At 60.5% G+C, this 26,652-nt stretch overlaps 1 protein-coding gene across 22 annotated transcripts, besides 11 other annotated features; it reads left to right on the forward strand.

Moving 5' to 3' along the window:
- Nucleotides 801–26,266, forward strand: ABCA7 (ATP binding cassette subfamily A member 7). Of its 22 annotated transcripts, none has more exons than NM_019112.4 (47): nt 801–890; nt 1,919–2,121; nt 2,204–2,297; nt 2,525–2,666; nt 2,758–2,870; nt 3,009–3,091; nt 3,440–3,520; nt 3,735–3,945; nt 4,028–4,167; nt 4,419–4,535; nt 5,271–5,438; nt 5,696–5,925; nt 6,924–7,100; nt 7,496–7,718; nt 7,851–8,072; nt 8,147–8,348; nt 9,589–9,699; nt 9,960–10,131; nt 11,615–11,746; nt 11,849–11,988; nt 12,143–12,280; nt 12,636–12,820; nt 12,908–12,980; nt 14,023–14,225; nt 14,482–14,530; nt 14,700–14,804; nt 14,887–15,035; nt 15,264–15,388; nt 15,474–15,572; nt 15,791–16,045; nt 16,601–16,633; nt 16,760–16,937; nt 17,024–17,193; nt 17,601–17,778; nt 18,008–18,123; nt 18,609–18,753; nt 18,840–18,963; nt 19,312–19,441; nt 19,514–19,634; nt 19,717–19,779; nt 22,476–22,582; nt 22,866–23,007; nt 24,238–24,372; nt 24,454–24,557; nt 24,855–24,947; nt 25,625–25,865; nt 25,964–26,266. In NM_019112.4, the coding sequence occupies exons 2-47, from the start codon at nt 2,056–2,058 to the stop codon at nt 26,117–26,119; spliced, it is 6,441 nt and encodes a 2,146-aa protein (NP_061985.2). In that variant the 5' UTR covers nt 801–890; nt 1,919–2,055; the 3' UTR covers nt 26,120–26,266. The 22 variants fall into 22 exon arrangements, 18 of the variants coding, with proteins under 18 accessions (NP_061985.2, XP_006722679.1, XP_047294001.1 ...); XM_006722616.2 differs by having other exon boundaries at nt 18,663–18,753; XM_047438045.1 differs by having other exon boundaries at nt 10,012–10,156.
- Nucleotides 1,797–1,936: a silencer, noted in NCBI's record as "silent region_9653". NCBI's record gives its function as "represses an Ori minimal core promoter by ATAC-STARR-seq in GM12878 lymphoblastoid cells {active_cell/tissue: GM12878}" and the evidence as "EXISTENCE:reporter gene assay evidence [ECO:0000049][PMID:35858748]".
- Nucleotides 1,797–2,645: a biological region, named in NCBI's record as "H3K27ac-H3K4me1 hESC enhancer GRCh37_chr19:1041153-1041950".
- Nucleotides 1,848–2,645: an enhancer, noted in NCBI's record as "H3K27ac-H3K4me1 hESC enhancer chr19:1041153-1041950 (GRCh37/hg19 assembly coordinates)". NCBI's record gives its function as "activates a minimal SCP1, AML or CMV promoter by ChIP-STARR-seq in naive H9 embryonic stem cells {active_cell/tissue: H9 hESC(naive)}" and the evidence as "EXISTENCE:reporter gene assay evidence [ECO:0000049][PMID:30033119]".
- Nucleotides 5,920–6,069: a silencer, noted in NCBI's record as "silent region_9654". NCBI's record gives its function as "represses an Ori minimal core promoter by ATAC-STARR-seq in GM12878 lymphoblastoid cells {active_cell/tissue: GM12878}" and the evidence as "EXISTENCE:reporter gene assay evidence [ECO:0000049][PMID:35858748]".
- Nucleotides 6,160–6,209: a silencer, noted in NCBI's record as "silent region_9655". NCBI's record gives its function as "represses an Ori minimal core promoter by ATAC-STARR-seq in GM12878 lymphoblastoid cells {active_cell/tissue: GM12878}" and the evidence as "EXISTENCE:reporter gene assay evidence [ECO:0000049][PMID:35858748]".
- Nucleotides 11,810–11,974: a silencer, noted in NCBI's record as "fragment chr19:1051115-1051279 (GRCh37/hg19 assembly coordinates)". NCBI's record gives its function as "represses an EF-1alpha promoter that drives an FKBP-Casp9 reporter gene in an ReSE screen in phorbol 12-myristate 13-acetate-treated (for megakaryocytic differentiation) K562 erythroleukemia cells {active_cell/tissue: K562(+PMA)}" and the evidence as "EXISTENCE:reporter gene assay evidence [ECO:0000049][PMID:32094911]".
- Nucleotides 12,231–12,431: a silencer, noted in NCBI's record as "peak3219 fragment used in MPRA reporter construct". NCBI's record gives its function as "represses an SCP1 promoter by STARR-seq MPRAs in K562 erythroleukemia cells {active_cell/tissue: K562}" and the evidence as "EXISTENCE:reporter gene assay evidence [ECO:0000049][PMID:32103011]".
- Nucleotides 16,878–17,377: an enhancer, noted in NCBI's record as "H3K4me1 hESC enhancer chr19:1056183-1056682 (GRCh37/hg19 assembly coordinates)". NCBI's record gives its function as "activates a minimal SCP1, AML or CMV promoter by ChIP-STARR-seq in naive H9 embryonic stem cells {active_cell/tissue: H9 hESC(naive)}" and the evidence as "EXISTENCE:reporter gene assay evidence [ECO:0000049][PMID:30033119]".
- Nucleotides 22,261–23,024: an enhancer, noted in NCBI's record as "H3K27ac-H3K4me1 hESC enhancer chr19:1061566-1062329 (GRCh37/hg19 assembly coordinates)". NCBI's record gives its function as "activates a minimal SCP1, AML or CMV promoter by ChIP-STARR-seq in naive and primed H9 embryonic stem cells {active_cell/tissue: H9 hESC(naive and primed)}" and the evidence as "EXISTENCE:reporter gene assay evidence [ECO:0000049][PMID:30033119]".
- Nucleotides 23,865–24,717: an enhancer, noted in NCBI's record as "H3K27ac-H3K4me1 hESC enhancer chr19:1063170-1064022 (GRCh37/hg19 assembly coordinates)". NCBI's record gives its function as "activates a minimal SCP1, AML or CMV promoter by ChIP-STARR-seq in naive H9 embryonic stem cells {active_cell/tissue: H9 hESC(naive)}" and the evidence as "EXISTENCE:reporter gene assay evidence [ECO:0000049][PMID:30033119]".
- Nucleotides 25,781–25,830: a silencer, noted in NCBI's record as "silent region_9656". NCBI's record gives its function as "represses an Ori minimal core promoter by ATAC-STARR-seq in GM12878 lymphoblastoid cells {active_cell/tissue: GM12878}" and the evidence as "EXISTENCE:reporter gene assay evidence [ECO:0000049][PMID:35858748]".

Consider the following 26,652-nt stretch of genomic DNA (forward strand, 5'->3'; position numbering starts at 1 on the left):
CAAATGCCCCCCATGCGCTTTGGCTGCACTCTACCTTACAGCGCAAGTCTCGTGGCCTCAGCCTGGATGTCTCCCCGTTGGCGAACTCCTATTTATCCTCAAAGCCCCAACGGCAATGCCACCTCCTGCCGCGGGAGCCGTCCCCACGCCTCTCACTCTCCCCAGCGCCTTCAAAGCTGTGGACCCACACGCTCCCATTTCAGCTTCACCTCCAGCCTGAAGAGTTTATTTCAACTCTTCTTCCAGAGTGGGAAACGGGTTTTCCTCAAAATCAGGGTAGCCACTATAATCGGAGACTCTAGAATGTTGGCCCCCTCCCCCTCCTGCCATCCTCTGCAGAAGCCGAGGAGCGTTCGTGGAATGAATGAATGAACGAATGATCTAGTGGAACCCCTACTTTACAGACGGACGAGTGTAGTCCCAGAGTCTGGACTAAACTAGAGGGAGCCTGGCCAGCCCCGGGGACAGCGGGGACAGAGGGAACTCCTGCAATTCGGAGCTGCGGTATTGCAGCCGGTTATACAACGTGGGGAGGCAGCCTGGCTCCCCAAAGACAGCGCAGCCTCGTTCCCGGAGGGCGGCCTGCCTGGGACCTGCCGGGCACTCCGCCACCCTACGGTGATGCAGCAAGAGCCGCGCGGTCCCTTTAAGAAACCCGGCTAGGCGAGGCCCTTCTGTGATCCCGTCTCCTCCCTTGGCCCGCGCAGCTCCGACGGAGCAGGCCAGTGAGTGACGGGCAGGTCGCCCAATAGCAGCGTGCAGAGGCAGGGGCGTGCCCCGGCGCTGCTACCTGCGCGGGCAAGCTCAGCGCACTTGGCTTAAGGGGCGGCGCGCTCCCTGCCTGCTGCTGGGCGGAGGGAAGGCGGCAAGAGCTGCGGAGCCCCTGGAAGGTGAGAAGGACTCGGAGAGGGAAGAAGGCCCGAGACTCGAGAATGCGGGGTTGGGGCCGGGAGGGATGCAAGTTCCCTGGGAATTAGGGGGTCCAGCCTCTGACCTCCTTCCGGTGAATGTTGACGACGGCTGAATTGATCACTGATTCTCAAGGGGGGCATCGGACATCTGGGACCCTTAAGAGGGCCTTTGCCGATCACACACCTGCAGCCCCCTGCCCGTTAGAACTCCTGCACTCCCCCTTGCCCCGTCTTACAAATGGAGAAACTGAGCCCACTCCCCCAGATCCTAAGTCCCGCTTGATGTAAAGGAAAGAACCCTGGCGTAAGGGTCTGGGTCTGAGGTCCCAGTTCCGGCCTGGTCACCTTTAGCAACTTCCTGCCCCTCTGTCAGCGTCAGATTCTCCATCTGTGTCAGAGGTGGACCGGCCCAAGGAAAATAGATCAGGAATCGCTGACTCCAGGAGTCTCTATCCCAGCCCCTTCGCCTGACTCTTTCTCTGGCTCCCGCGGTCCCTCTGAGCGATTAATGCTACATAAGGTGTGGGCAGAGCTGGGGTCGTGCCTCCAGCTGGGCAACTGCCTGTCTCTCTGGGTGCCTGGGTTTGCTTTCTTGGGCCTCGGTTTCCACTTCTGTAGAGTGGGGTGATAGTCCAGCACTTCCCCTGGGCGTGTGAAATGTCCAGCACTGCCAATATTCGTTGCTGTTATCTTCGGAGAACAGTGAGGGGAAAGGAATCCTTGCCTGGGCTGGGCCAGGCAGGAGGCTGGGGGTCAGGACCTGGAAGAGGCTTCCAGGTGAGGCTTGGGGTGGAGCCTGGTGACGAAAGCGTTAAGCCCAAACTCGGTCCCTGGAGGATTAGAGGATGATCTTTAAGTCCCCAGCTGTCAGCCCTGCTCAGAGCGACAGTCCTGGCAGCCAATCAGATGCGAGGACGGCTGCGGGTTGCGCTCCCATTGGTTTACTCCACCCCTGGGGTAGCGGAGCCTCTTTATCGAGTGACTACTGTTTGCCTCGCTCTAATCAGAGCTTCCAGGAACCCTGCGCTGTGGGATAAAGGAATGAGGTTCAGAAAGGGGCAGGGAGTTGCCCGCAGCCGCACCGCACGTCTTCAGCCCGACCGTTGTCCTGACCTCTCTGTCCCGTCCCCTGCCCAGTCTCACCATGGCCTTCTGGACACAGCTGATGCTGCTGCTCTGGAAGAATTTCATGTATCGCCGGAGACAGCCGGTAACGCCCCAGTGTGAGACCAGGGCCGGGTGGGCAGGCAGCCCCCACTGTCCCCCACCGTCTCCCACCTATTCTCCCCCAGGTCCAGCTCCTGGTCGAATTGCTGTGGCCTCTCTTCCTCTTCTTCATCCTGGTGGCTGTTCGCCACTCCCACCCGCCCCTGGAGCACCATGAATGTGAGCCCCCCCAGGGACCAGGCACTTTGTGTGTGTAGGGGAAGGCAGATGGCTCACCCGTGCACAGGAATCCCCCGTGCATGTCAGGGAGCCTTCACCAGGCCGCCAATACATGGCATGGGAGTGAGCTCTCCATCGCTGGAGGCATGCAAGCGGTGCCGGGCGACCCGATGGGGGTGGAGTCAGGCAGAGTCCACAGGGCCTCAGCACCAGGCGTCTCCCCGCAGGCCACTTCCCAAACAAGCCACTGCCATCGGCGGGCACCGTGCCCTGGCTCCAGGGTCTCATCTGTAATGTGAACAACACCTGCTTTCCGCAGCTGACACCGGGCGAGGAGCCCGGGCGCCTGAGCAACTTCAACGACTCCCTGTGAGCCAGAGGCAGTGGGTGCGGCCGGCCTGCAAACTCGGGGCTGCAGTGCCGGCCGGAACCCCGCCTCCTGCCCTCTCTCTGTCCCCAGGGTCTCCCGGCTGCTAGCCGATGCCCGCACTGTGCTGGGAGGGGCCAGTGCCCACAGGACGCTGGCTGGCCTAGGGAAGCTGATCGCCACGCTGAGGGCTGCACGCAGCACGGGTGAGGAGGCCGGGGGGCCTCTGGCAGGGCTGAGCTCTGAGCCTCAACTTGCCGGGCCGTGAAATGGGCACAGGGTGGGGGTGGGTGCCTCAGACCAACGTCCCCCCAGCCCCATGCTCCCGTGCGCTCCTCCCCCAGCCCAGCCTCAACCAACCAAGCAGTCTCCACTGGAACCACCCATGCTGGATGTCGCGGAGCTGCTGACGTCACTGCTGCGCACGGTAGGGTGTCGGGGCGGGACCGCGCTGACTTCCTGGGACACTGCACTGGGGATGTCCTGGCACTGCCCCACCCCGGGCCAAGGACCTCCCGTTCCAGGCATCCAGGCTGTCCCTGGTCTCTGCGGTGATGCTGCTTGTCCGTCTGGGCCCCCAGACAGAGTGTGTCTGACCCAGTGAGGAAGACTCGTCTGTGAGATCTCCAATGAGTCCCTTTGCCTCTCAGAGCCTCAGTTTCCCTATTTGTAAAGTGGGGGCTATGATAGTATGGTCTGCCTGGGAACTGGCCAGAGCGCTGGACCCCTAGTGAGTGTTCAAAATCATTGTCCCCCTTGTGGTCTTTCTCCCCAGGAATCCCTGGGGTTGGCACTGGGCCAAGCCCAGGAGCCCTTGCACAGCTTGTTGGAGGCCGCTGAGGACCTGGCCCAGGAGGTACGAGGCCCCACTCATCCTCAACCCCCATGGAGGCAACGTTGGCAGGCAGCCTGCGCCGGGAGGGTCTGGGGCAGCCCGGGCACTTCCCTTGGGTGGGTTTTCAGGAGGATTAGACAGCGAGAGGGAGAGGCTGCCCCTGGCCCAGTGCCCTGCCCTGGTTAGGGCTTGGAGGTGGGATCATTGCCAGCTCCGTCTGGTAACCTCTCTCTAGCTCCTGGCGCTGCGCAGCCTGGTGGAGCTTCGGGCACTGCTGCAGAGACCCCGAGGGACCAGCGGCCCCCTGGAGTTGCTGTCAGAGGCCCTCTGCAGTGTCAGGGGACCTAGCAGCACAGTGGGCCCCTCCCTCAACTGGTACGAGGCTAGTGACCTGATGGAGCTGGTGGGGCAGGAGCCAGAATCCGCCCTGCCAGACAGCAGCCTGAGTGAGTGACTGACCTCGGTTTCCCCTCTTGGGAAGTGGAACTCTGGGCAGGGGGGCAGGGCCTCATGGCACCCCCATCCCAGGCCCCGCCTGCTCGGAGCTGATTGGAGCCCTGGACAGCCACCCGCTGTCCCGCCTGCTCTGGAGACGCCTGAAGCCTCTGATCCTCGGGAAGCTACTCTTTGCACCAGATACACCTTTTACCCGGAAGCTCATGGCCCAGGTGGGGGCAGCCTGGATGCTGGGGTGGGAGGGTGGTGGCCAGAGCCCATCCAGTACCCTCAGTCCAGGTGGGCCAGGGCCAGGCCGGAGGGTCACGGAAACTATTTGAAGAAGTAGGAGTTAGCCGATGGAGGGGGATCAGCTTGTGCGGAGGATCAGAGGCACACGCAGGAGCAAGGCAGAGGGGGCAGGGGGTGGGCAGGGGTCCTCAGAGGAGGAGAGGGTCATCAGTGGAGGGGGTGCTGTCCACAGGTGAACCGGACCTTCGAGGAGCTCACCCTGCTGAGGGATGTCCGGGAGGTGTGGGAGATGCTGGGACCCCGGATCTTCACCTTCATGAACGACAGTTCCAATGTGGCCATGCTGCAGGTGTGCGGGGGTGCTGGGGAGGTGGGATGTGGCTCCCCGGTGAGGAGGGTAGACAGGCCCGGTGGATGGGAAGGTGGGCTCCGTGCAGACCCCCACTTTTTTTTTTTTTTTTTTGAGATGGAGTCTCGCTCTGTCGCCCAAGCTGGAATGCAGTGGCGTGATCTCGACTCACTGCAACCTCCACCTCCCGGGTTCAAGCGATTCTCCTGTCTCACCCTCTGAGTAGCTGGGACTACAGGCGCCCACCACCACGCCCGGATGATTTTTTTTTTTTATTTTTAGTAGAGACGGGGTTTAACCATGTTAGCCAGGATGGTCTCGATCTCCTGACCTCGTGATCCACCCGCCTCGGCCTCCCAAAGTGCTGGGATTACAGGCGTGAACTACCACGTCCTGCTTTTTTTTTTTTTTTTTTTTTTTTTAAGAGATGGAGTCTCACTCTGTTGCCCAGGCTGGACTGCAGTGGCGAGATCTTGGCTCACTGCAACCTCCGCCTCCTGGATTCAAGCAATTCTCCTGCTTCAGCCTCACAAGTAACTGGGATTACAGGCATGCGCCACCACTCCCGGCTACTTTTTGTATTTTTAGTAGAGATGGGCTTTCACCATGTTGGCCAGGCTGGTCTCGAACTCCTGACCTCAGGTGATCCACCCGCCTCGCCTCCCAAAGTGCTGGGATTACAGGCATGAGCCACTGTGCCCGACCCAGACTCTCACTTTCACCTGCGCCCCCCAGCGGCTCCTGCAGATGCAGGATGAAGGAAGAAGGCAGCCCAGACCTGGAGGCCGGGACCACATGGAGGCCCTGCGATCCTTTCTGGACCCTGGGAGCGGTGGCTACAGCTGGCAGGACGCACACGCTGATGTGGGGCACCTGGTGGGCACGCTGGGCCGAGTGACGGAGGTGAGGGCCTGTCCACCTGCGGGGTCTGTTTCAGTGGGGAGGGCAGGTCCCATCCTAGTGTTCCCACCCTGGTGTTCCCAGGGGGAGGCGGGCCCGGCCCTAGTAAGAGCCTGGGATTTGTAGAGATCTCAGGAGGGAGCCGGCCGTGGGCCTACGAGGGGAAAACATGGCCCAGCCCCGAGGTCCAGGGGGAGGAGCGGAGTGGTCTAGGAGGCAGGCGGACCCCAGCGCCTAGGACTCACCCCCGCATCCCACAGTGCCTGTCCTTGGACAAGCTGGAGGCGGCACCCTCAGAGGCAGCCCTGGTGTCGCGGGCCCTGCAACTGCTCGCGGAACATCGATTCTGGGCCGGCGTCGTCTTCTTGGGACCTGAGGACTCTTCAGACCCCACAGAGCACCCAACCCCAGACCTGGGCCCCGGCCACGTGCGCATCAAAATCCGCATGGACATTGACGTGGTCACGAGGACCAATAAGATCAGGGACAGGTCAGGCGAGGGAGGGGGCGGGGGGATGAGGGACTGGGCGGGGCCAAGAGCGTGGTGGGTGGGGCCAGGCAGCATTCAGCCTATTGGAGACCATGATAGACAGGATCTGGGCTGTATCAACAGTGGTATGGTAGCCAGAGCCCGGGGCTCCTTAGACCAATAGGGGCCCGTGATGGGCGGGGCCTAGGTGCATGAGGGGCGTGGCCATGGGCCTGAGATAAGATGAGAGCAGGTATAGGTTGAGGGCAATGGTGGGCGGAGCCAGGTGTATTATTAGGTCCCTGGAATAAGGGTGGAGCTAAAATTGCACCGGGTGCTGAGCGCAGTAGATCTTGCCTGTTATCTCAGAACTTTGGGAGGCCAAAGTGGGAGAATCTCTTGAGGACAGGTATTCGAGACTAGCCTGGGCAACATAGTGAGACCGCCTCCCCCCCGCCCCCCTCCCCCACCAACCTCACGAAAATATCTTTAAAAATTAGCCAGGTGAGGCCGGGCACAGTGGCTCACGCCTGTAATCCCAGCACTTTGGGAGGCTGAGGCGGGCGGATCACGAGGTCAGGAGATCAAGACCATCCTGACTAACTCGGTGAAACCCTGCCTCTACTAAAAAAAAAAAGTACAAAAAATTAGCCGGGCGTGGTAGCACGCGCCTGTAGGCCCAGCTACCCAGGAGGCTGAGGCAGGAGAATCGCTTGAACCCAGGAGGCGGAGGTTGCAGTGAGCCGAGATGGCGCCACTGCACTCCAGCCTGGGCGATAGAGCGAGACTCCGTCTCAAACAAATGAATAAATGAATAAAATTAGCCAGGCGACTTGGGAGGCCGAGCTGGGGGGATCGTTTGATCCCGGGAGGTCAAGGCTGCAGTGAGCTATGATTGCAGCTCTTCACTCCAGCCTGGGCGACAGAGCAAGACCCTGTCTAAGAAAAAGGTTATTCAGGGTGGGGCCCCGGGAGTTTCTAGCCCTTCCCTACAACCGGCCACCATGCCCCTCTCGCAGGTTTTGGGACCCTGGCCCAGCCGCGGACCCCCTGACCGACCTGCGCTACGTGTGGGGCGGCTTCGTGTACCTGCAAGACCTGGTGGAGCGTGCAGCCGTCCGCGTGCTCAGCGGCGCCAACCCCCGGGCCGGCCTCTACCTGCAGCAGATGCCCTATCCGTGCTATGTGGACGACGTGTGAGCTCTGGCACCCCTCCCCGCTCTTCCCCGCGGCGGGAAGGTCCCGGGTGTGGGGGTGGGCCCAGGCTCTGTTGGGAACCTTCCTGCGGTCCAGGCTGCGAACTTTGCACCTTTACACCACTCCACGTGACCTGCTGCAGCGGGAGGAGCAGGGGACTCTGAGGGTCTGGTGGGGGGGGGGACTCTGAGGGTCTGGGGGCCCCCGGCGCAGGGACAGCCTGGGCTGCACTGATGCCTGAGAGCCAAAGGCTGGCTGGATCAGGTTCCAAGGAACAGGGAGGCAAATCTTCCCGCCTTGAGATCCCGGGACACGAACCAGTCGTGCCAGATGGTGGGCGGAGGGGGGGTCTGCGGAGGGTCTCCAGCCTCCACCCCAGCCGTCCCCACCCCAGGTTCCTGCGTGTGCTGAGCCGGTCGCTGCCGCTCTTCCTGACGCTGGCCTGGATCTACTCCGTGACACTGACAGTGAAGGCCGTGGTGCGGGAGAAGGAGACGCGGCTGCGGGACACCATGCGCGCCATGGGGCTCAGCCGCGCGGTGCTCTGGCTAGGCTGGTTCCTCAGCTGCCTCGGGCCCTTCCTGCTCAGCGCCGCACTGCTGGTTCTGGTGCTCAAGGTGGGCGCGCCTCGGCCTGCCCGGCTGCAGAATGGGTGCGCTGGAGGGTGACAGACAGGGGCGGCCCCACGTGGGTGCGCGCCCCCAGGCCAATCCAGGAGCTGCACCCTAAGCTCCCGTTGCCTCTCACAGCTGGGAGACATCCTCCCCTACAGCCACCCGGGCGTGGTCTTCCTGTTCTTGGCAGCCTTCGCGGTGGCCACGGTGACCCAGAGCTTCCTGCTCAGCGCCTTCTTCTCCCGCGCCAACCTGGCTGCGGCCTGCGGCGGCCTGGCCTACTTCTCCCTCTACCTGCCCTACGTGCTGTGTGTGGCTTGGCGGGACCGGCTGCCCGCGGGTGGCCGCGTGGCCGCGGTGAGAGCCGGGTCGGGCGTGGATGGGGGACGCCCCCCGCTTCGGCCGCTCACTGACCGCCCGCTTTTCCGCAGAGCCTGCTGTCGCCCGTGGCCTTCGGCTTCGGCTGCGAGAGCCTGGCTCTGCTGGAGGAGCAGGGCGAGGGCGCGCAGTGGCACAACGTGGGCACCCGGCCTACGGCAGACGTCTTCAGCCTGGCCCAGGTCTCTGGCCTTCTGCTGCTGGACGCGGCGCTCTACGGCCTCGCCACCTGGTACCTGGAAGCTGTGTGCCCAGGTGGGCCGTAGGGGGCGGGGCTCCGGGCCGGGTCGCACCTGCTTTGCGGGAGGCTGAGCTAGGGGTGTGGCCTCCAGGCCGTTTGGGGGTGGGGGGTGGCTTATTCCCTTGGAGAGAAGGCGGGGCTTCTTGGCACACGCATGCAGGTGGCTGCATTGGAGGGGCGGGGCCTGAGGCAGGTGGGCGGGGTTTCTGGGCCGCCTCATACCTGGACGCCCTGATTCCAGGTGTATGGCCAGAAGCTGGCACAGTCGCCGGGCGCTGTGGCTCACGCTTGTAATCCCAGCACTTTGGGAGGCCAAGGCAGGAGAATCGCTTGAGCCCAGGAGTTTGAGACCAGGCTGGGCAATATAGTGAGACCTCATCAATACAAAAAGTTAGCTGGGCGTGGTGGCACGCTGGGCGTGGTGGCACGCTCCTGTAGTCCCAGCTACTCGGGAGGATGGGGTGGGAGGATCACTCGAGCCCAGGAGGTTGAGGCTGCTGTGAGCCGTGATCCCACCAGCCTGGGCAACAGAGTGAGACCTCCATCTCTTTAAAAAAAAAAAAAAAAAAAAAGCTGGCTGGGTGCGGTGGCTCACGCCTGTAATCCCAGCACTTTGGGAGGCCGAGGCGGGCGGGTCATCTGAGGTCGGGATTTCGAGACCAGCCTGACCAACATGGAGAAACCCCGTCTCTACTAAAAATACAAAATTAGCTGGGTGTGGTGGCGGGTGCCTGTTTCCTAGCTACTTGGAAGGCAGAGGCAGGAGAAATGCTTGAATCCCGGAGGCGGAGGTTGCGGTGAGTCGAGATCGCGCCACTGCACTCCAGCCTGGGCAACAAGAGTGAAACTCAGTCTCAAAAAAAAAAAAACAAAAAAAAAAAAAACAAGGCCGGGCACGGTGGCTCACGCCTGCTTTCCCAGCACTTTGGGAGGCCGAGGTGGGCAGATCACGAGGTCAGGAGATGGAGACCATCCTGGCTAACACGGTGAAACCCCGTCTCTCCCAAAAATACAAAAAATTATCCAGGCATGGTGGCGGGCGCCTGTAGTCCCAGCTACTCAGGAGGCTGAGGCAGGAGAATGACGTGAACTGGGGAGGCGGAGCTTGCAGCGAGTCAAAATCGTGCCACTGCACTCCAGCCTGGGCAACAGAGCAAGACTCCGTCTCAAAAAAAAAAAAAAACAAAACCCCAAAAAAAGCCTGGTACACTCCTGGGGGGTGGGCTAAGCAATAACCCGCGCCCCTCCCCGCAGGCCAGTACGGGATCCCTGAACCATGGAATTTTCCTTTTCGGAGGAGCTACTGGTGCGGACCTCGGCCCCCCAAGAGTCCAGCCCCTTGCCCCACCCCGCTGGACCCAAAGGGTGAGGCACTACGAGGCTTAATAGCTGGTTGTCCACATATGCCCAGTTCCCCCCCAAAACGAGATTCCACAGATGCCAATGACAATGACCTGGACACCCCAACCCTCACACCTGCCCTGAAGACACTGCGGTCCCCAAGCTCCCGCAGCTTTTATAGGCCCCGGCCCAGCAGGTCCCGGATTCCACAGCCCAGCTCTGAGGGACTTGCAGGCCCCAGGACCCCCATGACCTCCATGGCTGAGTCCACCCCATCTCTGCAGTGCTGGTAGAAGAGGCACCGCCCGGCCTGAGTCCTGGCGTCTCCGTTCGCAGCCTGGAGAAGCGCTTTCCTGGAAGCCCGCAGCCAGCCCTGCGGGGGCTCAGCCTGGACTTCTACCAGGGCCACATCACCGCCTTCCTGGGCCACAACGGGGCCGGCAAGACCACCACCCTGTGAGCCCCCAACCACTCCCTCCCCGTGAGCCCCCCCACTCCCACCCCGTGAGCCCCCCCACCACTCCCTCCCCGTGAGCCCCCCACCACTCCCTCCCCGTGAACCCCCCACCACTCCCTCCCCGTGAGCCCCCCCACCACTCCCTCCCCGTGAGCCCCCCACCACTCCCTCCCCGTGAACCCCCCACCACTCCCTCCCCGTGAGCCCCCCCACCACTCCCTCCCCGTGAACCCCCCACCACTCCCTCCCCGTGAGCCCCCCCACCACTCCCTCCCCGTGAGGCCCCCCACCACTCCCTCCCCGTGAACCCCCCACCACTCCCTCCCCGTGAGCCCCCCCACCACTCCCTCCCCGTGAACCCCCCACCACTCCCTCCCCGTGAGCCCCCCCACCACTCCCTCCCTGTGAGCCCCCCGACCGCTCCCTCCCCGTGAGCCCCCCCACCACTCCCTCCCTGTGAGCCCCCCCACCACTCCCTCCCTGTGAGTTCCCCCACCACTCCCTCCCTGTGAGTCCCCCACCACTCCCTCCCTGTGAGCCGCCCAAACCACTCCCTCCCTGTGAGCCCCCCACCACTTCCTCCCTGTGAGCTCCCTGTGAGGCCCCCGACCAGTCCCTCCCTGTGAGCAGTAATGGCGCCACTGCACTCCAGCTTGGGCAACGGAGTAAGACCCTGTCTCAAAATAAATAGGGCGGGAGTGGTGGCTCACGCCTGTAATCCCAGCACTTGGGCAAGCCGAGGTGGGAGGATTGCCTGAGGTCAGAGTTTGAGACACAGCCTGGCCAATATGGCAAAACCATCTCTACTAAAAATACAAAAATTAGCCGGGTGTGATGGTGGCGTGCACCTGTAATCCCAGCTACTCAGGAGGCTGAGGCAGGAGAACTGCTTGAACCCTGGAGGCGGAGGTTGCAGTGAGCCGAGACTGTGCCGTTGCACTCCAGCCTGGGCAACAGAGTGAGACTCTGTCACAAAAAAATAAAAATAAACAAATAAATAAAAATAAGGCTATCACAGGGTTTTGGATGTAGCATTTAATAGGTGCTCTGTGGCCAGGCGTGGTGGCTCAGGCCTGCAATCCCAGCACTTTGGGGGGCCGAGGCGGGTGGATCACGAGGTCAGGAGATTGAGATCATCCTGGCTAACATGGTGAAACAGTGAAACCCCGTCTCTACTAAAAATGCAAAAAAATTAGCCGGACATGGTGGCGGGCGCCTGTAGTCCCAGCTACTCGGGAGGCTGAGGCAGGAGAATGGCGTGAACCCGGGAGGTGGAGCTTGCAGTGAGCCGAGATCGTGCCGCTGCACTCCAGCCTGGGCAACAGAGTGAAACTCCGTCTCAAAAATAATAATAATAATAATAATAATAATAATAATAATAAATAATTAAAAATTTTTTAAAAACAGAAATTAAAAATAGAAGCTCTGTAACTGCCAGTGCACTCTGTGAAGGGGGCTACTCTGAGACCCCTCTATCCACAGGTCCATCTTGAGTGGCCTCTTCCCACCCAGTGGTGGCTCTGCCTTCATCCTGGGCCACGACGTCCGCTCCAGCATGGCCGCCATCCGGCCCCACCTGGGCGTCTGTCCTCAGTACAACGTGCTGTTTGACATGTGCGTCTCGGCAGGCCCAGAGTGCAGCGGTGGGAAGGGACTGGACGCCCTCTGGGACTCTGCCTGCCATGTGGGTCACTCTGCTCTGTGCACTGGCCGCAGGCTGACCGTGGACGAGCACGTCTGGTTCTATGGGCGGCTGAAGGGTCTGAGTGCCGCTGTAGTGGGCCCCGAGCAGGACCGTCTGCTGCAGGATGTGGGGCTGGTCTCCAAGCAGAGTGTGCAGACTCGCCACCTCTCTGGTGAGCCCATCCCCAAGGGAGGTCACCTCACAGGGAGGGGCCTGGGGATTCATCCTGAAGGCAGGGGGAAGCCGGGTACTGAGGTCCACGTGGGTAGGCAACCTTGCCCAAGGCTGGGTGTGACACACTGAGGTCCCTTCCCCATCTCTACCAGGTGGGATGCAACGGAAGCTGTCCGTGGCCATTGCCTTTGTGGGCGGCTCCCAAGTTGTTATCCTGGACGAGCCTACGGCTGGCGTGGATCCTGCTTCCCGCCGCGGTATTTGGGAGCTGCTGCTCAAATACCGAGAAGGTAAGAGCTGGGGATTCTGCTCGAGGGGCCAGAAAAGGCTTCTGACAAGGAAGTGCTGGGGATGGGGTTTTGAGGAATGAGTAGGAGTTTGCTACATGTGGACCCCACTTGTTGCTATGGCATTTAGGGGCTACTGCTCAAATACCGAGACAGTAAGAGTTGGGGATAGACAGAGGTTCCCCTGGATTCTGCCTGAAGGGCCAGAAAAGGTTTCCAACAAGGAGGTTCTGGGGATGAGGTTTTGAGGGATGAATAGGAGTTTGCTTCATGGGGCAGACAACTCCTGGCAGAGGCCCCAGCTCGGGCAAAGACGCGGCGGCCTGATGGTAGTTGTGGGTTGGTCCCCCGTGCCTAGGTCGCACGCTGATCCTCTCCACCCACCACCTGGATGAGGCAGAGCTGCTGGGAGACCGTGTGGCCGTGGTGGCAGGTGGCCGCTTGTGCTGCTGTGGCTCCCCACTCTTCCTGCGCCGTCACCTGGGCTCCGGCTACTACCTGACGCTGGTGAAGGCCCGCCTGCCCCTGACCACCAATGAGAAGGTGGGGACCGGCCTTCTCCTGACCCCTGACCCCCGGGACTCTGTTCAGCCCTGAAGGCCAAGCCACTTGGTGCCTCTCTGCCCGCAGGCTGACACTGACATGGAGGGCAGTGTGGACACCAGGCAGGAAAAGAAGAATGGCAGCCAGGGCAGCAGAGTCGGTGAGGGCCGGGGTGGGAGACCCAAGGCGGGTGGGCAGTGGGGTGGCTGTGCCTTAACTTGAGGAGGAGGAGGGGGAGGGGGAAGAGGAGGAGGAGGGGGAGGAAGCGGCAGAGGAGGTTGAGGCGGAGGAGGAGGGGGAGGAGGAGGGGGAGGAGTAAGAGGTGGAAGGGGAGGCGAAGGGGAGGAGTAGGAGGGAGAGGAGGAGGGGGAGGGAGAGGAGGAGGGGGAGGAGAAGGGGGGAGGAGGAGGGGAAGGGAGAGGAGGAGGGGGAGAAGAAGGGGAGGAGTAGGAGGGGAGCAGAAGGGGAGGAATAGGAGGGGGAGGAGGAGGGGGAGGGAAAGGGGGAGGAGAAGGGGGAGAAGTAGGAGGAAGAGGAGGGGGAGGAGAAGGGGGAGGAGTAGGAGGGAGAGGAGGAGGAGGGAGAGGAGGGGGAGGAGAAGGAGAGGAGGAGGAGAGCACTTGAGAACCTGAGATGATGCCCCCATCCCTGGGCTGAGCCGGAACCATGAGACTAACTTGAACACTGACCCCACCTTTAACCCAACCAGGGCTGAGCCCAGAGACAAACCTACCCCTGACCTCCAACACTAGGTCCAGCACTGCCCTCAAGATCTCTTTTTGTTTGTTTCTGAGTCTTGCTCTGTCGCCCAGGCTGTAGTGCAGTGGTGTGATCTCAGCTCACTGCAACCTCTGCCTCCTGGGTTCAAGCATTTCTCCTCCCTCAGCCTCTCGAGTAACTGGGATTACAGGTGGGTTCCACCATGCCTGGCTAATTTTTGCATTTTTGGTAGAAATGGGGTTTCACCATGTTGGTCAGGCTGGTCTCAAACTCCTGACCTCAGGTGATCTGCCTGCTTCAACCCTCAAAGTGCTGGGATTACAGGCGTGAGCCACTGCGCCCGGCCGCACCTGGCCTACGTTCTTAACCCTGATCTCTGTCTGCCGGGACAGTCCCCTCACAGGTCACCAATGCCTCTTCCCCAGGGAGACTGGGGTGGGGCGTGAGCCGGGGCTCCCTGAAGCACCCCTTTGTCCACACAGGCACTCCTCAGCTGCTGGCCCTGGTACAGCACTGGGTGCCCGGGGCACGGCTGGTGGAGGAGCTGCCACACGAGCTGGTGCTGGTGCTGCCCTACACGGGTGCCCATGACGGCAGCTTCGCCACACTCTTCCGAGAGCTAGACACGCGGCTGGCGGAGCTGAGGCTCACTGGCTACGGGATCTCCGACACCAGCCTCGAGGAGGTGTGAGGCCTGGGTGGTGGTGAGGTGGGGCCAGGAGGAGGGCTTCCTGGAGGAGGTGGTGTTTTGAAGGATGAATAGCGTGTTTATGAGCAGCAAGGACATTCAGGGAGGAGGCATGGCACATGAGGAGCTCTGGTGGCTCAGATGTCCCTTGGGAAGGCCTGGGGGACCCATGGTGTAGGAGGGGTGGGGGGCTCACAAGCCCCCAGTTCTCCCTGTCGGTGTCCAGTCTCTGAGCCCCTGCTTGTCTCCCCAGATCTTCCTGAAGGTGGTGGAGGAGTGTGCTGCGGACACAGATATGGAGGGTGCGGCCACAGCTCCCTGACCCCTGACCCCAGTCCAGAGTGGGACCAGAGGCCAGGTCCCCATCCCTGGCTTAGTGTGGCCCAAGGCATAGCCTTTACCCTATACCTGATTCCTGATCCCCCAATCCGTGACCCTCAACTTTGACCCTGACCCCTGATGGCCCTGCAGATGGCAGCTGCGGGCAGCACCTATGCACAGGCATTGCTGGCCTAGACGTAACCCTACGGCTCAAGATGCCGCCACAGGAGACAGCGCTGGAGAACGGGGAACCAGGTAAGTCCTTCCCAGTGGCCCTGGGGTCCTCCCAGCCACCCCCCCACAGCAGCGTGAGCACTGACCCTCTCATCCCTCACAGCTGGGTCAGCCCCAGAGACTGACCAGGGCTCTGGGCCAGACGCCGTGGGCCGGGTACAGGGCTGGGCACTGACCCGCCAGCAGCTCCAGGCCCTGCTTCTCAAGCGCTTTCTGCTTGCCCGCCGCAGCCGCCGCGGCCTGTTCGCCCAGGTGAGGAGGGCTAGCACCAGGGAGTCGCATGGGAGTCCCTGAGTTCCCTACCCTGGCCGTCCACTCAGTGGCCTAATCCAAACCCTTACCCCCGTGTGTATTCCCAACCCAAAGCACATTTATTGAGGGCACTGGGGAGCCATGGGTGGTTGTAGAGCAGGAGCAGGGACAGGTGCAAGCAAGCCTGGAGGGTGGATGGAAGCAGCAGCTGATGGGCTGGTCCCCCAGATCGTGCTGCCTGCCCTCTTTGTGGGCCTGGCCCTCGTGTTCAGCCTCATCGTGCCTCCTTTCGGGCACTACCCGGCTCTGCGGCTCAGTCCCACCATGTACGGTGCTCAGGTGTCCTTCTTCAGGTGGGTGCAGAAGGAAGGGGCTGGTGGCAGGAAGACTAGGGACCTGGGGGTACAGCCCTGACCCTACATCTCCCCTCACACACAGTGAGGACGCCCCAGGGGACCCTGGACGTGCCCGGCTGCTCGAGGCGCTGCTGCAGGAGGCAGGACTGGAGGAGCCCCCAGTGCAGCATAGCTCCCACAGGTGAGGCGTCTTGTTGGCCTGGACCTTTCCCCTCTCTGGCCTCAGTTTTCCCATCTGGTCCCTGGCCAGGGAGCCTCAGGGGGCACCTGGAGCATCCCCTGTGCCCACCTGGGAGCTGGGAGCCTCTGTGGCTCCAGGAACCCCCAGAAGCTGGGTGCCCACAGACCTTCACCTTGACCCTGCAGCGCCCTTGAGTGTGCACAGCCCATTGTCTGCAGGTTCTCGGCACCAGAAGTTCCTGCTGAAGTGGCCAAGGTCTTGGCCAGTGGCAACTGGACCCCAGAGTCTCCATCCCCAGCCTGCCAGTGTAGCCGGCCCGGTGCCCGGCGCCTGCTGCCCGACTGCCCGGCTGCAGCTGGTGGTCCCCCTCCGCCCCAGGCAGTGACCGGCTCTGGGGAAGTGGTTCAGAACCTGACAGGCCGGAACCTGTCTGACTTCCTGGTCAAGACCTACCCGCGCCTGGTGCGCCAGGGGTGAGCCATGCCCTGGGACTCAGTTTCCCTGGCTATAGCATGGGTCCTTGGGTTGCTGGGGCTGGTGTGGTCCTGGAGGAGGAAGTGGAGGGGTTGGATGCCCAGCTTGGGGCTACGGGCTGGGAGTCTCGCGTACCTTCCTTTCCTCTTTTTTTTTTTTTTTTTTTTTGAGATGGAGTCTCCCTCTGTTGCCCAGGCTGGAGTGCAGAGGTGTGATCTCAGCTCATTGCAACCTCCACCTCCCAGTTTCAAGCGATTCTCCTCCCTCAGCCTCCCGAGTAGCTGGGATTACAGGCACGCACCACCACTCCCGACTAATTTTTGTATTTTTAGTAGAGATGGGGTTTCACCGTGTTGCCAGGCTGGTCTCGAACTCCTGACCTCAGGTGATCCACCCGCCTTGGCCTCCCAAAGTGTTGGGATTACAGGCAGGAGCCACCGCGCCCGGCTTTCTTTCCTGTTTTTGTCCACCCTTGACTCTGTGCTCCCCTCTCACCATCTCTCTCTCTGTCCCACATCCCTGTCTGCCTGTGTCTCTGTCCATCTCTCCCACAGCCTGAAGACTAAGAAGTGGGTGAATGAGGTCAGGTGAGGAGGGGTCTAGCTTGGGGTCCCCTGCCCCAGTTCCACTCCCATGCCCTCTGCCTGCCCCCTGGGAGCTCTCCCGGCCCCCCCGGCCCTCAGCTCCCCTTCCCTGCCTGCATGGCCCCACAGATACGGAGGCTTCTCGCTGGGGGGCCGAGACCCAGGCCTGCCCTCGGGCCAAGAGTTGGGCCGCTCAGTGGAGGAGTTGTGGGCGCTGCTGAGTCCCCTGCCTGGCGGGGCCCTCGACCGTGTCCTGAAAAACCTCACAGCCTGGGCTCACAGCCTGGATGCTCAGGACAGTCTCAAGGTGGGAACTGGGGGGGCAGGTGGGCGTCCTGTCACAGCAAGGTCCAACCCCATTGCTCTGACCCTATGACCTTGACCCCCACCCAGATCTGGTTCAACAACAAAGGCTGGCACTCCATGGTGGCCTTTGTCAACCGAGCCAGCAACGCAATCCTCCGTGCTCACCTGCCCCCAGGCCCGGCCCGCCACGCCCACAGCATCACCACACTCAACCACCCCTTGAACCTCACCAAGGAGCAGCTGTCTGAGGGTGCACTGTGAGTCCCTCCACCCTGCATGTCCTACCCTGCACGTCCTACCCTGCCTCCATTTCTCTGTCGTTTGGGGTGGTGGGAGCTGGATTTGAACCCTGACACACTCTTGCTTTATAAATGGGGGATAGAAACTGTTCCTCTGCTCCCTAAGCCAGGGAAATGGGACCTCCTCAGACTCAGCGGGCCCCAGCCTCCCCCACACATCCTCATCCCACCAACCTTTATCCTGCCTGAGACCTGTACAACCTCTGCTGCCAAATCCCAGGCACCCTCATCCCTAAATTGCCCCTGCCATCTCTGCCACTGCTGACTGCCCCATAGACCTTTGTCCCATCAATGGCGTGTTCAGCTCTGCTCTGAGCAACCCATGCACCCTCACCCTACAACAGCTCTCATGTCTTCACCTCCAGGATGGCCTCCTCGGTGGACGTCCTCGTCTCCATCTGTGTGGTCTTTGCCATGTCCTTTGTCCCGGCCAGCTTCACTCTTGTCCTCATTGAGGAGCGAGTCACCCGAGCCAAGCACCTGCAGCTCATGGGGGGCCTGTCCCCCACCCTCTACTGGCTTGGCAACTTTCTCTGGGACATGGTGCGGGGGCTGCTTGGACGGGTGGGGGCCCAGCCACTGCTTGCCACTGCCCTGTCTGGCCCCTTGTAGGCAGGGGCTTGTCCAAGATGGCCTGGGTAAAGTCTTGAGGATTGTGGGAGACTTTGTGCCTTCCTACTCAAAAAGCAAGGAGGTCAGGGTGGGAACAGGGCTGAGGGTGGCAGTGCCCACCTCTTTAGGCTGATAAAGGTAACTGCCATCTCCAATGCAGTGTAACTACTTGGTGCCAGCATGCATCGTGGTGCTCATCTTTCTGGCCTTCCAGCAGAGGGCATATGTGGCCCCTGCCAACCTGCCTGCTCTCCTGCTGTTGCTACTACTGTATGGGTGAGGCCCCCAGTCCCTCAGGGCCTATTCTTACTGACCCCTTACTGCCTTCCACATTAATGCTGCTGAGATAGAACTCTGCAGTGACTCCCAAGGAGAGGATATGGAGGTCTGAGGTGATGCCGTGTGTGATCCAATTCAGTGGTGTGCCAAGGTGGCCTTAAAAGCTCATCTTATCCTGACTCATATTAGTAGAGTTCTAAGGCAGCCCATGCCTGTAATTCCAGTACTTTGGGAGGCCGAGGCAGGAGGACTGCTTGTGGCCAGGAGTTTGAGACCAGCCTGGGAAACATAGAGAGACCCACCTCTAAAAAAGAAAGAAAGAGAGAGAAAGAGAAAGAGAGAAAGAAAAAAAAAAAAACAGAAATGTGCTTTGGGTGAAAATGTCAAGGTCTAAGGCAGAGAAGATGGGAATGGAGATTTTTATTCCTCTCAGGGCTTCTCAGTCTGAGTGGTTACTCCAGTGACTCCTATTGTCCCTTCAGCTGGTCGATCACACCGCTCATGTACCCAGCCTCCTTCTTCTTCTCCGTGCCCAGCACAGCCTATGTGGTGCTCACCTGCATAAACCTCTTTATTGGCATCAATGGAAGCATGGCCACCTTTGTGCTTGAGCTCTTCTCTGATCAGGTGGGGCACCACGAGGCTGGGGCTTGGGCTGGGTTGGGTCGTTGGACTCAGCCCCTGACCAACATCCGTCTCCCACCCTTGAGCAGAAGCTGCAGGAGGTGAGCCGGATCTTGAAACAGGTCTTCCTTATCTTCCCCCACTTCTGCTTGGGCCGGGGGCTCATTGACATGGTGCGGAACCAGGCCATGGCTGATGCCTTTGAGCGCTTGGGTGAGAACTTCCTGTCAGGTGGGGCCATGGCTACAGATAGCTAGCACCCTTGGAGACCTAGAGTTAATTATACAGAGTGGAGAAAAACAGCCCCCCAGGGAGACAGCCAGGGTTCTTAGGTGGCCCTAAGGTTGGGCCAAGTTGGAGGTACAAGAAAGCAGCCATAAAAAGCTAATTCTTAGATTACATCACAAGAGGCCTCTTCTGTTTTCTATGCCAATTAGACTCCAGCTGAGTGGCCTATCCAATTTGTGTTCCTTTCCCTTAAGAATCCAGAGTGACATGGATGGAGAAAGGGCCAGAAACCAAGACTCTCATGGACCCAGTCCCTCCTTTCTATATCCACAGGAGACAGGCAGTTCCAGTCACCCCTGCGCTGGGAGGTGGTCGGCAAGAACCTCTTGGCCATGGTGATACAGGGGCCCCTCTTCCTTCTCTTCACACTACTGCTGCAGCACCGAAGCCAACTCCTGCCACAGTTAGTGAGGTCTATGGAGAGGGTGGCAGGGGCCAAGGACCTACTTTAAGCCCACAGATATTCTGTCCCCAGGCCCAGGGTGAGGTCTCTGCCACTCCTGGGAGAGGAGGACGAGGATGTAGCCCGTGAACGGGAGCGGGTGGTCCAAGGAGCCACCCAGGGGGATGTGTTGGTGCTGAGGAACTTGACCAAGGTAGGTGTGGTCAGGTCGACTGCTGGGTGGGGGGTGCTCCCACTGGCCCACTCACCTTTCTGAAAGACCTGCACTCTCCCAGGTATACCGTGGGCAGAGGATGCCAGCTGTTGACCGCTTGTGCCTGGGGATTCCCCCTGGTGAGGTGAGTCCAGGGGTGGAGGCCAGGTGCAGGGACAGTGAGTGGCTGCCCTACTGCATGCCCTGCCCATCATCCTTTACTGAACACCTACTGTGTATCCACCACCTTTTATTGGGCACCTACTGTATGCCAATATTTGTGCTCCTATTTTTATTTTATTATATTATTATTTATTTATTTATTTATTTATTTATTTATTTGAGATGGAGTCTCACTCTGTCTCCCAGGCTGGAGTGCAGTGGTGGGATCTCAGCTCACTGCAAGCTCCACCTCCCGGGTTCATGCCATTCTCCTGCCTCAGCCTCCCGAGTAGCTGGGACTGCAGGCGCCCACCACCACGCCCGGCTAATTTTTTTGTATTTTTAGCAGAGACGGGGTTTCACCGTGTTAGCCAGGATGGTCTCCATCTCCTGACCTCGTGATCCACCCGCCTCAGCCTCCCAGAGTGCTGGGATTACAAGCGTGAGCCACCACACCTGCCCTATTTTATCTTTTTTTAGAGACGGAGTCTCACTCTGTCGCCCAGGCTGGAGTGCAGTGGTGAGATCTCGGCTCACTACAAGCTCCACCTCCCGGGTTCACACCATTTTCCTGCCTCAGCCTCCCAGGTAGCTGGGACTGCAGGCGCCTGCCATCACGCCTGGCTAATTTTTGTATTTTTAGTAGAGACAGGGCTTCACCATATTAGCCAGGATGGTCTCGATCTCCTGACCTCATGATCCACCCGCCTCAGCCTCCCAAAGTGCTGGGATTACAGGCGTGAGCCACTGCGTCTGGCCTGTGCATTTATCTTGAGCCAACAAAACCTCATTAAGCACCTACTGCATGCTTACCTCTGTTAAACACACACTGTGCTCACTAAAGAGGTGTACTGAATACTTTTGTGTCCATCAACGTTTATCAAATACCAATAGAATTTATTGGACCCCTATTGTATACACATCTACATCAAGCACTTGCTCACAGCCAGCATTTATCAGGCACCTGCTTTGTACCAGTTCACATTCAAGCACCTACTATATACAAATGTATTTGCTGTGTGCCACTTATTGGCCACCTACTAGGGCTGGTACACATCTGCAAACAAGTGCTGTTTGTTAGCACACATTGCAGTATATATATATATTTTTTTTTCTTTTTTTTTCTTTTGAGATGGAGTCTCACTGTCACCCAGCTTGGTGTGCAATGGTGTAATCTTGGCTCACGGTAACCTCCGCCTCCCAGGTTCAAGCGATTCTCCAGCCTCAGCCTCCCGAGTAGCTGGGACCACAGGCACATGCCGCCATGCCCAGCTGATTTTGTATTTTTAGTAGAGACGGGGTTTCACCATGTTGGCCAGGCTGGTCTTGCACTCCTGACCTCAAATGATCCACCCACCTTGGCCTCCGAAAGTTCTGGGATCACATGTGTGAGCCACCATGCCCGGCCTTTGTTTTTTTCTTTTTTTTTTTTTTTGAGACAAAGTCTCGCTCTGCCACCCAGGCTGGAGTGCAGTGTCACGATCTCGGCTCACTGCAACCTCTGCCTCCCAGGTTCAGGCGATTCTCCTGCCTCAGCCTCCTGAGTAGCTGGGATTACAGGCGCCCGCCACCACAACCGGCTAATTTTTGTATTTTTAGTAGAGATGGGGTTTCACAATGTTGGTCAGGCTGATCTTGAACTCTTGACCTCAGGTGATCTGCCCACCTCGGCTTCCCAAAGTGCTGGGGTTACAGGTGTGAGCCACTGGGCCTGGCCCACAGTATATCTTTACTAAGCACCTACTGTGTGCTGGCCAACCTCTCTACCTTGGGCTGACTGTGCACCTAGCCTAAGTACACACAGTGTGCCAGGAAACATATGGAGAGCTCATGCCCTGATATTTGTTGAGCACTGCTGCACACGACCTTTATAGGGTACCCACTGTGTGCCAAAAGCCATTCCCTGCTAAGTGACAGCTTTATGCCTCGCTACATACCCCAATATCTGCCTAGCTCCCCCGGGGCCCCACCCACGGCCTTCCATGTGGACACTCAGAAATCAGAGGTGCTGAGGCCAGGCGTGGTGGCTCACAGCTGTAACCCCAGCACTTTGGGAGGCCAAGGCAGGAGGATCACTTGAGGTCAGGAGTTCGAGACCAGCCTGGCCAACATGCCAAAACCCCGTCTCTACTAAAAATACAAAAATTAGCCGGGCTTGGTGGCACACGCCTGTAGTCCCAGCTACTCCGGAGCCTGAGACAGGAGAATTGCTTGAACCCAGGAGGTGGAGGTTGCAGTGGGCCAAGATCGTGCCATTGCGCCGGGGTGACACAGCAAGGCTCCGTCTCAAAAAAAAAAAAAAAAAAAAAAGAGGCTGGGTGCCGTGGCTCACGCCTGTAATCCCAGCACTTTAGGAGTTCAAGGCAGGCGGATCACAAGGTCAAGAGATCGAGACCATCCTGGCCAACACGGTGAAACCCCATCTCTACTAAAAAAAAATACAAAAATTAGCTGGGCATGGTGGCAGGCGTCTGTAGCCCCAGCTACTTGGGAGGCTAAGGCAGGAGAATTGCTTGAACCCGGGAGGCAGAGGTTGCAGTGAGCCAAGATCGCACCACTGCAGTCCAGCCTGGGAAACAAGAGCAAAACTTGGTCTCAAAAAAAAAAAAAAAAGAAATCAGAGATGCCGGAACCAGGGCCTGGGGCCTCACTGAGCACCATCTGTGGGCATCCCTGTAGTGTTTTGGGCTGCTGGGTGTGAATGGAGCAGGGAAGACGTCCACGTTTCGCATGGTGACGGGGGACACATTGGCCAGCAGGGGCGAGGCTGTGCTGGCAGGCCACAGGTGAGGGGTGCCAGGTAGGGTCAGGGTGGGGCAGGGTTGGCCCTGACGTCCTTGTGCTTCCCCACCCCTCCACCTCCAGTGAATGGACTGGGCTCACTGCCCCACACCTGCATGGTCTCTGAGACCCCTGCACCTCTACCTCCCACACGCGGACCAGGCCCTGAGACACCCCTGTCCCTTATCAGCGTGGCCCTGGATGGGTGGGCCCTGAGACCCCTGTGTTAGCCACCAGTATGGTCAGGGACTAGCCAGCTCTCTGAGCCCCCGGCGCCCCCATCCCCAGCGTGGCCCGGGAACCCAGTGCTGCGCACCTCAGCATGGGATACTGCCCTCAATCCGATGCCATCTTTGAGCTGCTGACGGGCCGCGAGCACCTGGAGCTGCTTGCGCGCCTGCGCGGTGTCCCGGAGGCCCAGGTTGCCCAGGTGAGCCCACTTTGTCCCCACCGCTCTCACCTCCCAGGGCCCACCCGACCCAGGCCGTGCCTCTAAAGCCTGGCCCAATCCCGCACTCTCTCGCCTTGGCTCCATCCCTGTCCCTGCCCCCAGACCGTGCTTCCTTCCCCTATACCTCTGTCCCCCATCCTGGTCCAATAGGGATGTGGCTAGCCCGCCTCTTTGCCCCGCAACACCAAGTTCCACCATTCTCATTGGTCCACCCACCCTTCCTTCCGCTGCACGTTGCCCCTCTCTCCTTGACTCTGCCTTCTGTGGCCCTGCCCACTTGCTCCTCTTCTGCCTACCCCCTAGGGCTTCGCGCCTTTCTCGCTGGGGTCACGGTCACATTCTCACTCTGGCCGTTCCCAGTTTGCAGCCGTTTCACTGCCTCTTCCATCTGCTTGGGGGTCTTGTCTTTGCCCTGGCCCGCCCCACCCTCACACTGTCCCACCCCATGCCCTTTCTGGCCCTGCCTCATACCCATGTTGGCTCCACCCACACCATGGCCCTGCTCCATACCCATCCCAGCTCCACCCATACCAAGGCCCCACCCCATACTCATGCTGGCTCCACCCACACCATGGCCCCGCCCCATACTCATGCTGGCTCCACCCACACCATGGCCCCGCCCCATACTCATGCTGGCTCCACCCACACCATGGCCCCGCCCCATACTCATGCTGGCTCCACCCACACCATGGCCCCACCCCATACTCATGCTGTCTCCACCCACACCATGGCCCTGCCCCATACTCATGCTGGCTCTACCCACACCATGGCCCCGCCGCATACTCATGCTGGCTCCACCAGTGTGGCCCCGCCCCATACTCATGCTGGCTCCACCCACACCATGGCCCCGCCCCATACTCATGCTGGCTCCACCAGTGTGGCCCCGCCCCATACTCATGCTGTCTCCACCCACACCATGGCCCCGCCCCATACTCATGCTGGCTCCACCCACACTATGGCCCTGCCCCACACCCATCCCAGCTCCACCCACACCATGGCCCCGCCCCATACTCATGCTGGCTCCACCCACACCATGGCCCCGCCCCATACTCATGCTGCCCCCACCACACTATGTCCCATTCTCACATTTGCCCTGCCCCATGCCCATTATGCCCCTGCTCCACACTCAATGCTGGCCCCGCCACACTGTGGCCCTGCCCCATACTCATCAATATGAGTCCCCATGCCTACTCTGGCCCCACCCCACAGACCGCTGGCTCGGGCCTGGCGCGTCTGGGACTCTCATGGTACGCAGACCGGCCTGCAGGCACCTACAGCGGAGGGAACAAACGCAAGCTGGCGACGGCCCTGGCGCTGGTTGGGGACCCAGCCGTGGTGTTTCTGGTGCGTGGGAGCGGTGCCTGGGTGGGGTGGGGCCTGCGACGGAGGCGGGGCCTTGCTTATGGGATCTTCCGTGCTCCCCAGGACGAGCCGACCACAGGCATGGACCCCAGCGCGCGGCGCTTCCTTTGGAACAGCCTTTTGGCCGTGGTGCGGGAGGGCCGTTCAGTGATGCTCACCTCCCATAGGTGGGCCGGGCTCTGATGCCCTGGGCTGTGGTTAAGGTGATCCAGGCCTGGAGAGAGAGCCCCAAAGCACAAGGCCACAGGGGATGGGGGGTCCTGGCCCTAGTGGGGCGAGGGCGCCAGGCCCCGGGGTGTAAGGACACACAGAGGTGGGACGCGGCGCCGGGATCAGAACGGTCTGGGGAAGAGTGGGGAGATGTCCACACCAGAAGGGTGGCCCAGGCCGGGGGAAGCAGGCAGTGTGGCGCCAGGCACAGGTGGCCCCGGCCTCACGGAGCTCGTGGTGCCGGGTCCCGACAGCATGGAGGAGTGTGAAGCGCTCTGCTCGCGCCTGGCCATCATGGTGAATGGGCGGTTCCGCTGCCTGGGCAGCCCGCAACATCTCAAGGGCAGGTGAGCCGGCGCGGCCTCCAGGCAGGTGTGGGGTGAGGGTGGGCACGTAGGTAGGCTCAGGGGAGAGGCCAGACGTAGAGCCGGGTGAGGAAAGTTTGGCTCCAACTGGAGAGATGGCCAAGGCTTTAGATTGTCCTGCAGGGGTGACTGAGGGGGCGAGACAGGCTGGGGTGTGCTGGGGGCGCAGGACCAGGAGGCGTGAGCCGGGGGCTCTGGGTGGATTTAGAAGACACAATCAGGTGTGCGTTGGAGTAGGTGCAGCCTGGAGAGGTGAGGGTGGATTGATGGGTGGAGTTAGGGGAGGGCCTGGTTAGTGGGCGGGGCCATAGGAAAGTGGGGCGGGGGTATTTATTGTGTGGGCGGGGGTAGAGTGCAAGGGCGAAAGAGGAGTGTCCGAAAAAGGAGTCAAGTGGGGTGATAGCTTCGAGAGCAACCTGGGCAACCTAGGGAGACCCCATCTCTATAAAAAATTTAAAAATTAGCTGGACATGGTGGTGTGTGCCTGTGGTCTCAGCTACGCGGGCGGGGGGTGGCGGGGGACTGAGACGGGAGGACCACTTGATCGCTAGGGTAGTACAAGTATGGGGCGGGGCCAGAGAGTATTAGGGGCTGGAGGGTGAGCTGAGGTGGGACCTGGGAAAGGCCCGATCCGGTAGCCCTGGCCCCACTCACTGCAGATTCGCGGCGGGTCACACACTGACCCTGCGGGTGCCCGCCGCAAGGTCCCAGCCGGCAGCGGCCTTCGTGGCGGCCGAGTTCCCTGGGGCGGAGCTGCGCGAGGCACATGGAGGCCGCCTGCGCTTCCAGCTGCCGCCGGGAGGGCGCTGCGCCCTGGCGCGCGTCTTTGGAGAGCTGGCGGTGCACGGCGCAGAGCACGGCGTGGAGGACTTTTCCGTGAGCCAGACGATGCTGGAGGAGGTGATCACGGCGCCGGGGTCGGGCTGGGGGAGGCAGGCTGGGGGCCAGGCCCGTGGGCTGACCGTCCCTCTTGTCCCCTCTGGGCTGCCCACCGCTAGGTATTCTTGTACTTCTCCAAGGACCAGGGGAAGGACGAGGACACCGAAGAGCAGAAGGAGGCAGGAGTGGGAGTGGACCCCGCGCCAGGCCTGCAGCACCCCAAACGCGTCAGCCAGTTCCTCGATGACCCTAGCACTGCCGAGACTGTGCTCTGAGCCTCCCTCCCCTGCGGGGCCGCGGGGAGGCCCTGGGAATGGCAAGGGCAAGGTAGAGTGCCTAGGAGCCCTGGACTCAGGCTGGCAGAGGGGCTGGTGCCCTGGAGAAAATAAAGAGAAGGCTGGAGAGAAGCCGTGGTGGTGAAACCGTGTGCATGTGTGTCCTTGAGCCAGGCTGCACACATGTCCACACAGCTGCCTGCACATGCGTCTGGATATGGCTGGCCCCTTGCAAGCTGAGTGTGCACATACGGGCCAAGTGGCGATTCATAGGACACAGGTGTGAGCGTGCCTACAGCTGACCGGATCCCAGCTGTAAATGCCTCTGTGGCCAGCCCAGGAGTTGGGGATGTGAGTGCGGGCCTCATAAGGGCCTGGTCACACCGTCCCTGTCCCCACGTCCCTGCGTGCCTATGTGGGGCTGGCGCCTAAGGGCGGTACCTGTAAGTGCCTGGCCATAAAGTGGGGATGAGGTCAGGACTCAGGAATGTCCTGGGAAGCTTACAGGAGCCCGGTGTCCCGGAGCACAGGCC

The sequence above is a fragment of the Homo sapiens genome, chromosome 19 (genome assembly GCF_000001405.40).
Source record: "Homo sapiens chromosome 19, GRCh38.p14 Primary Assembly".
In the NCBI taxonomy this organism is placed as follows: Eukaryota; Metazoa; Chordata; class Mammalia; order Primates; family Hominidae; genus Homo; species Homo sapiens.

What these genes read in the sequence shown, in the direction of transcription:
- ABCA7 (NM_019112.4), top strand. Translation starts at nt 2,056, where the DNA reads ATGGCCTTCTGGACACAGCTGATGCTGCTGCTCTGGAAGAATTTCATG. An exon ending in CCGCGCCTGGTGCGCCAGGG is followed by an intron (nt 16,046 to 16,600) that starts GTGAGCCATGCC and finishes TCTCTCCCACAG; the next exon opens with CCTGAAGACTAAGAAGTGGG. An exon ending in AAGTGGGTGAATGAGGTCAG is followed by an intron (nt 16,634 to 16,759) that starts GTGAGGAGGGGT and finishes ATGGCCCCACAG; the next exon opens with ATACGGAGGCTTCTCGCTGG.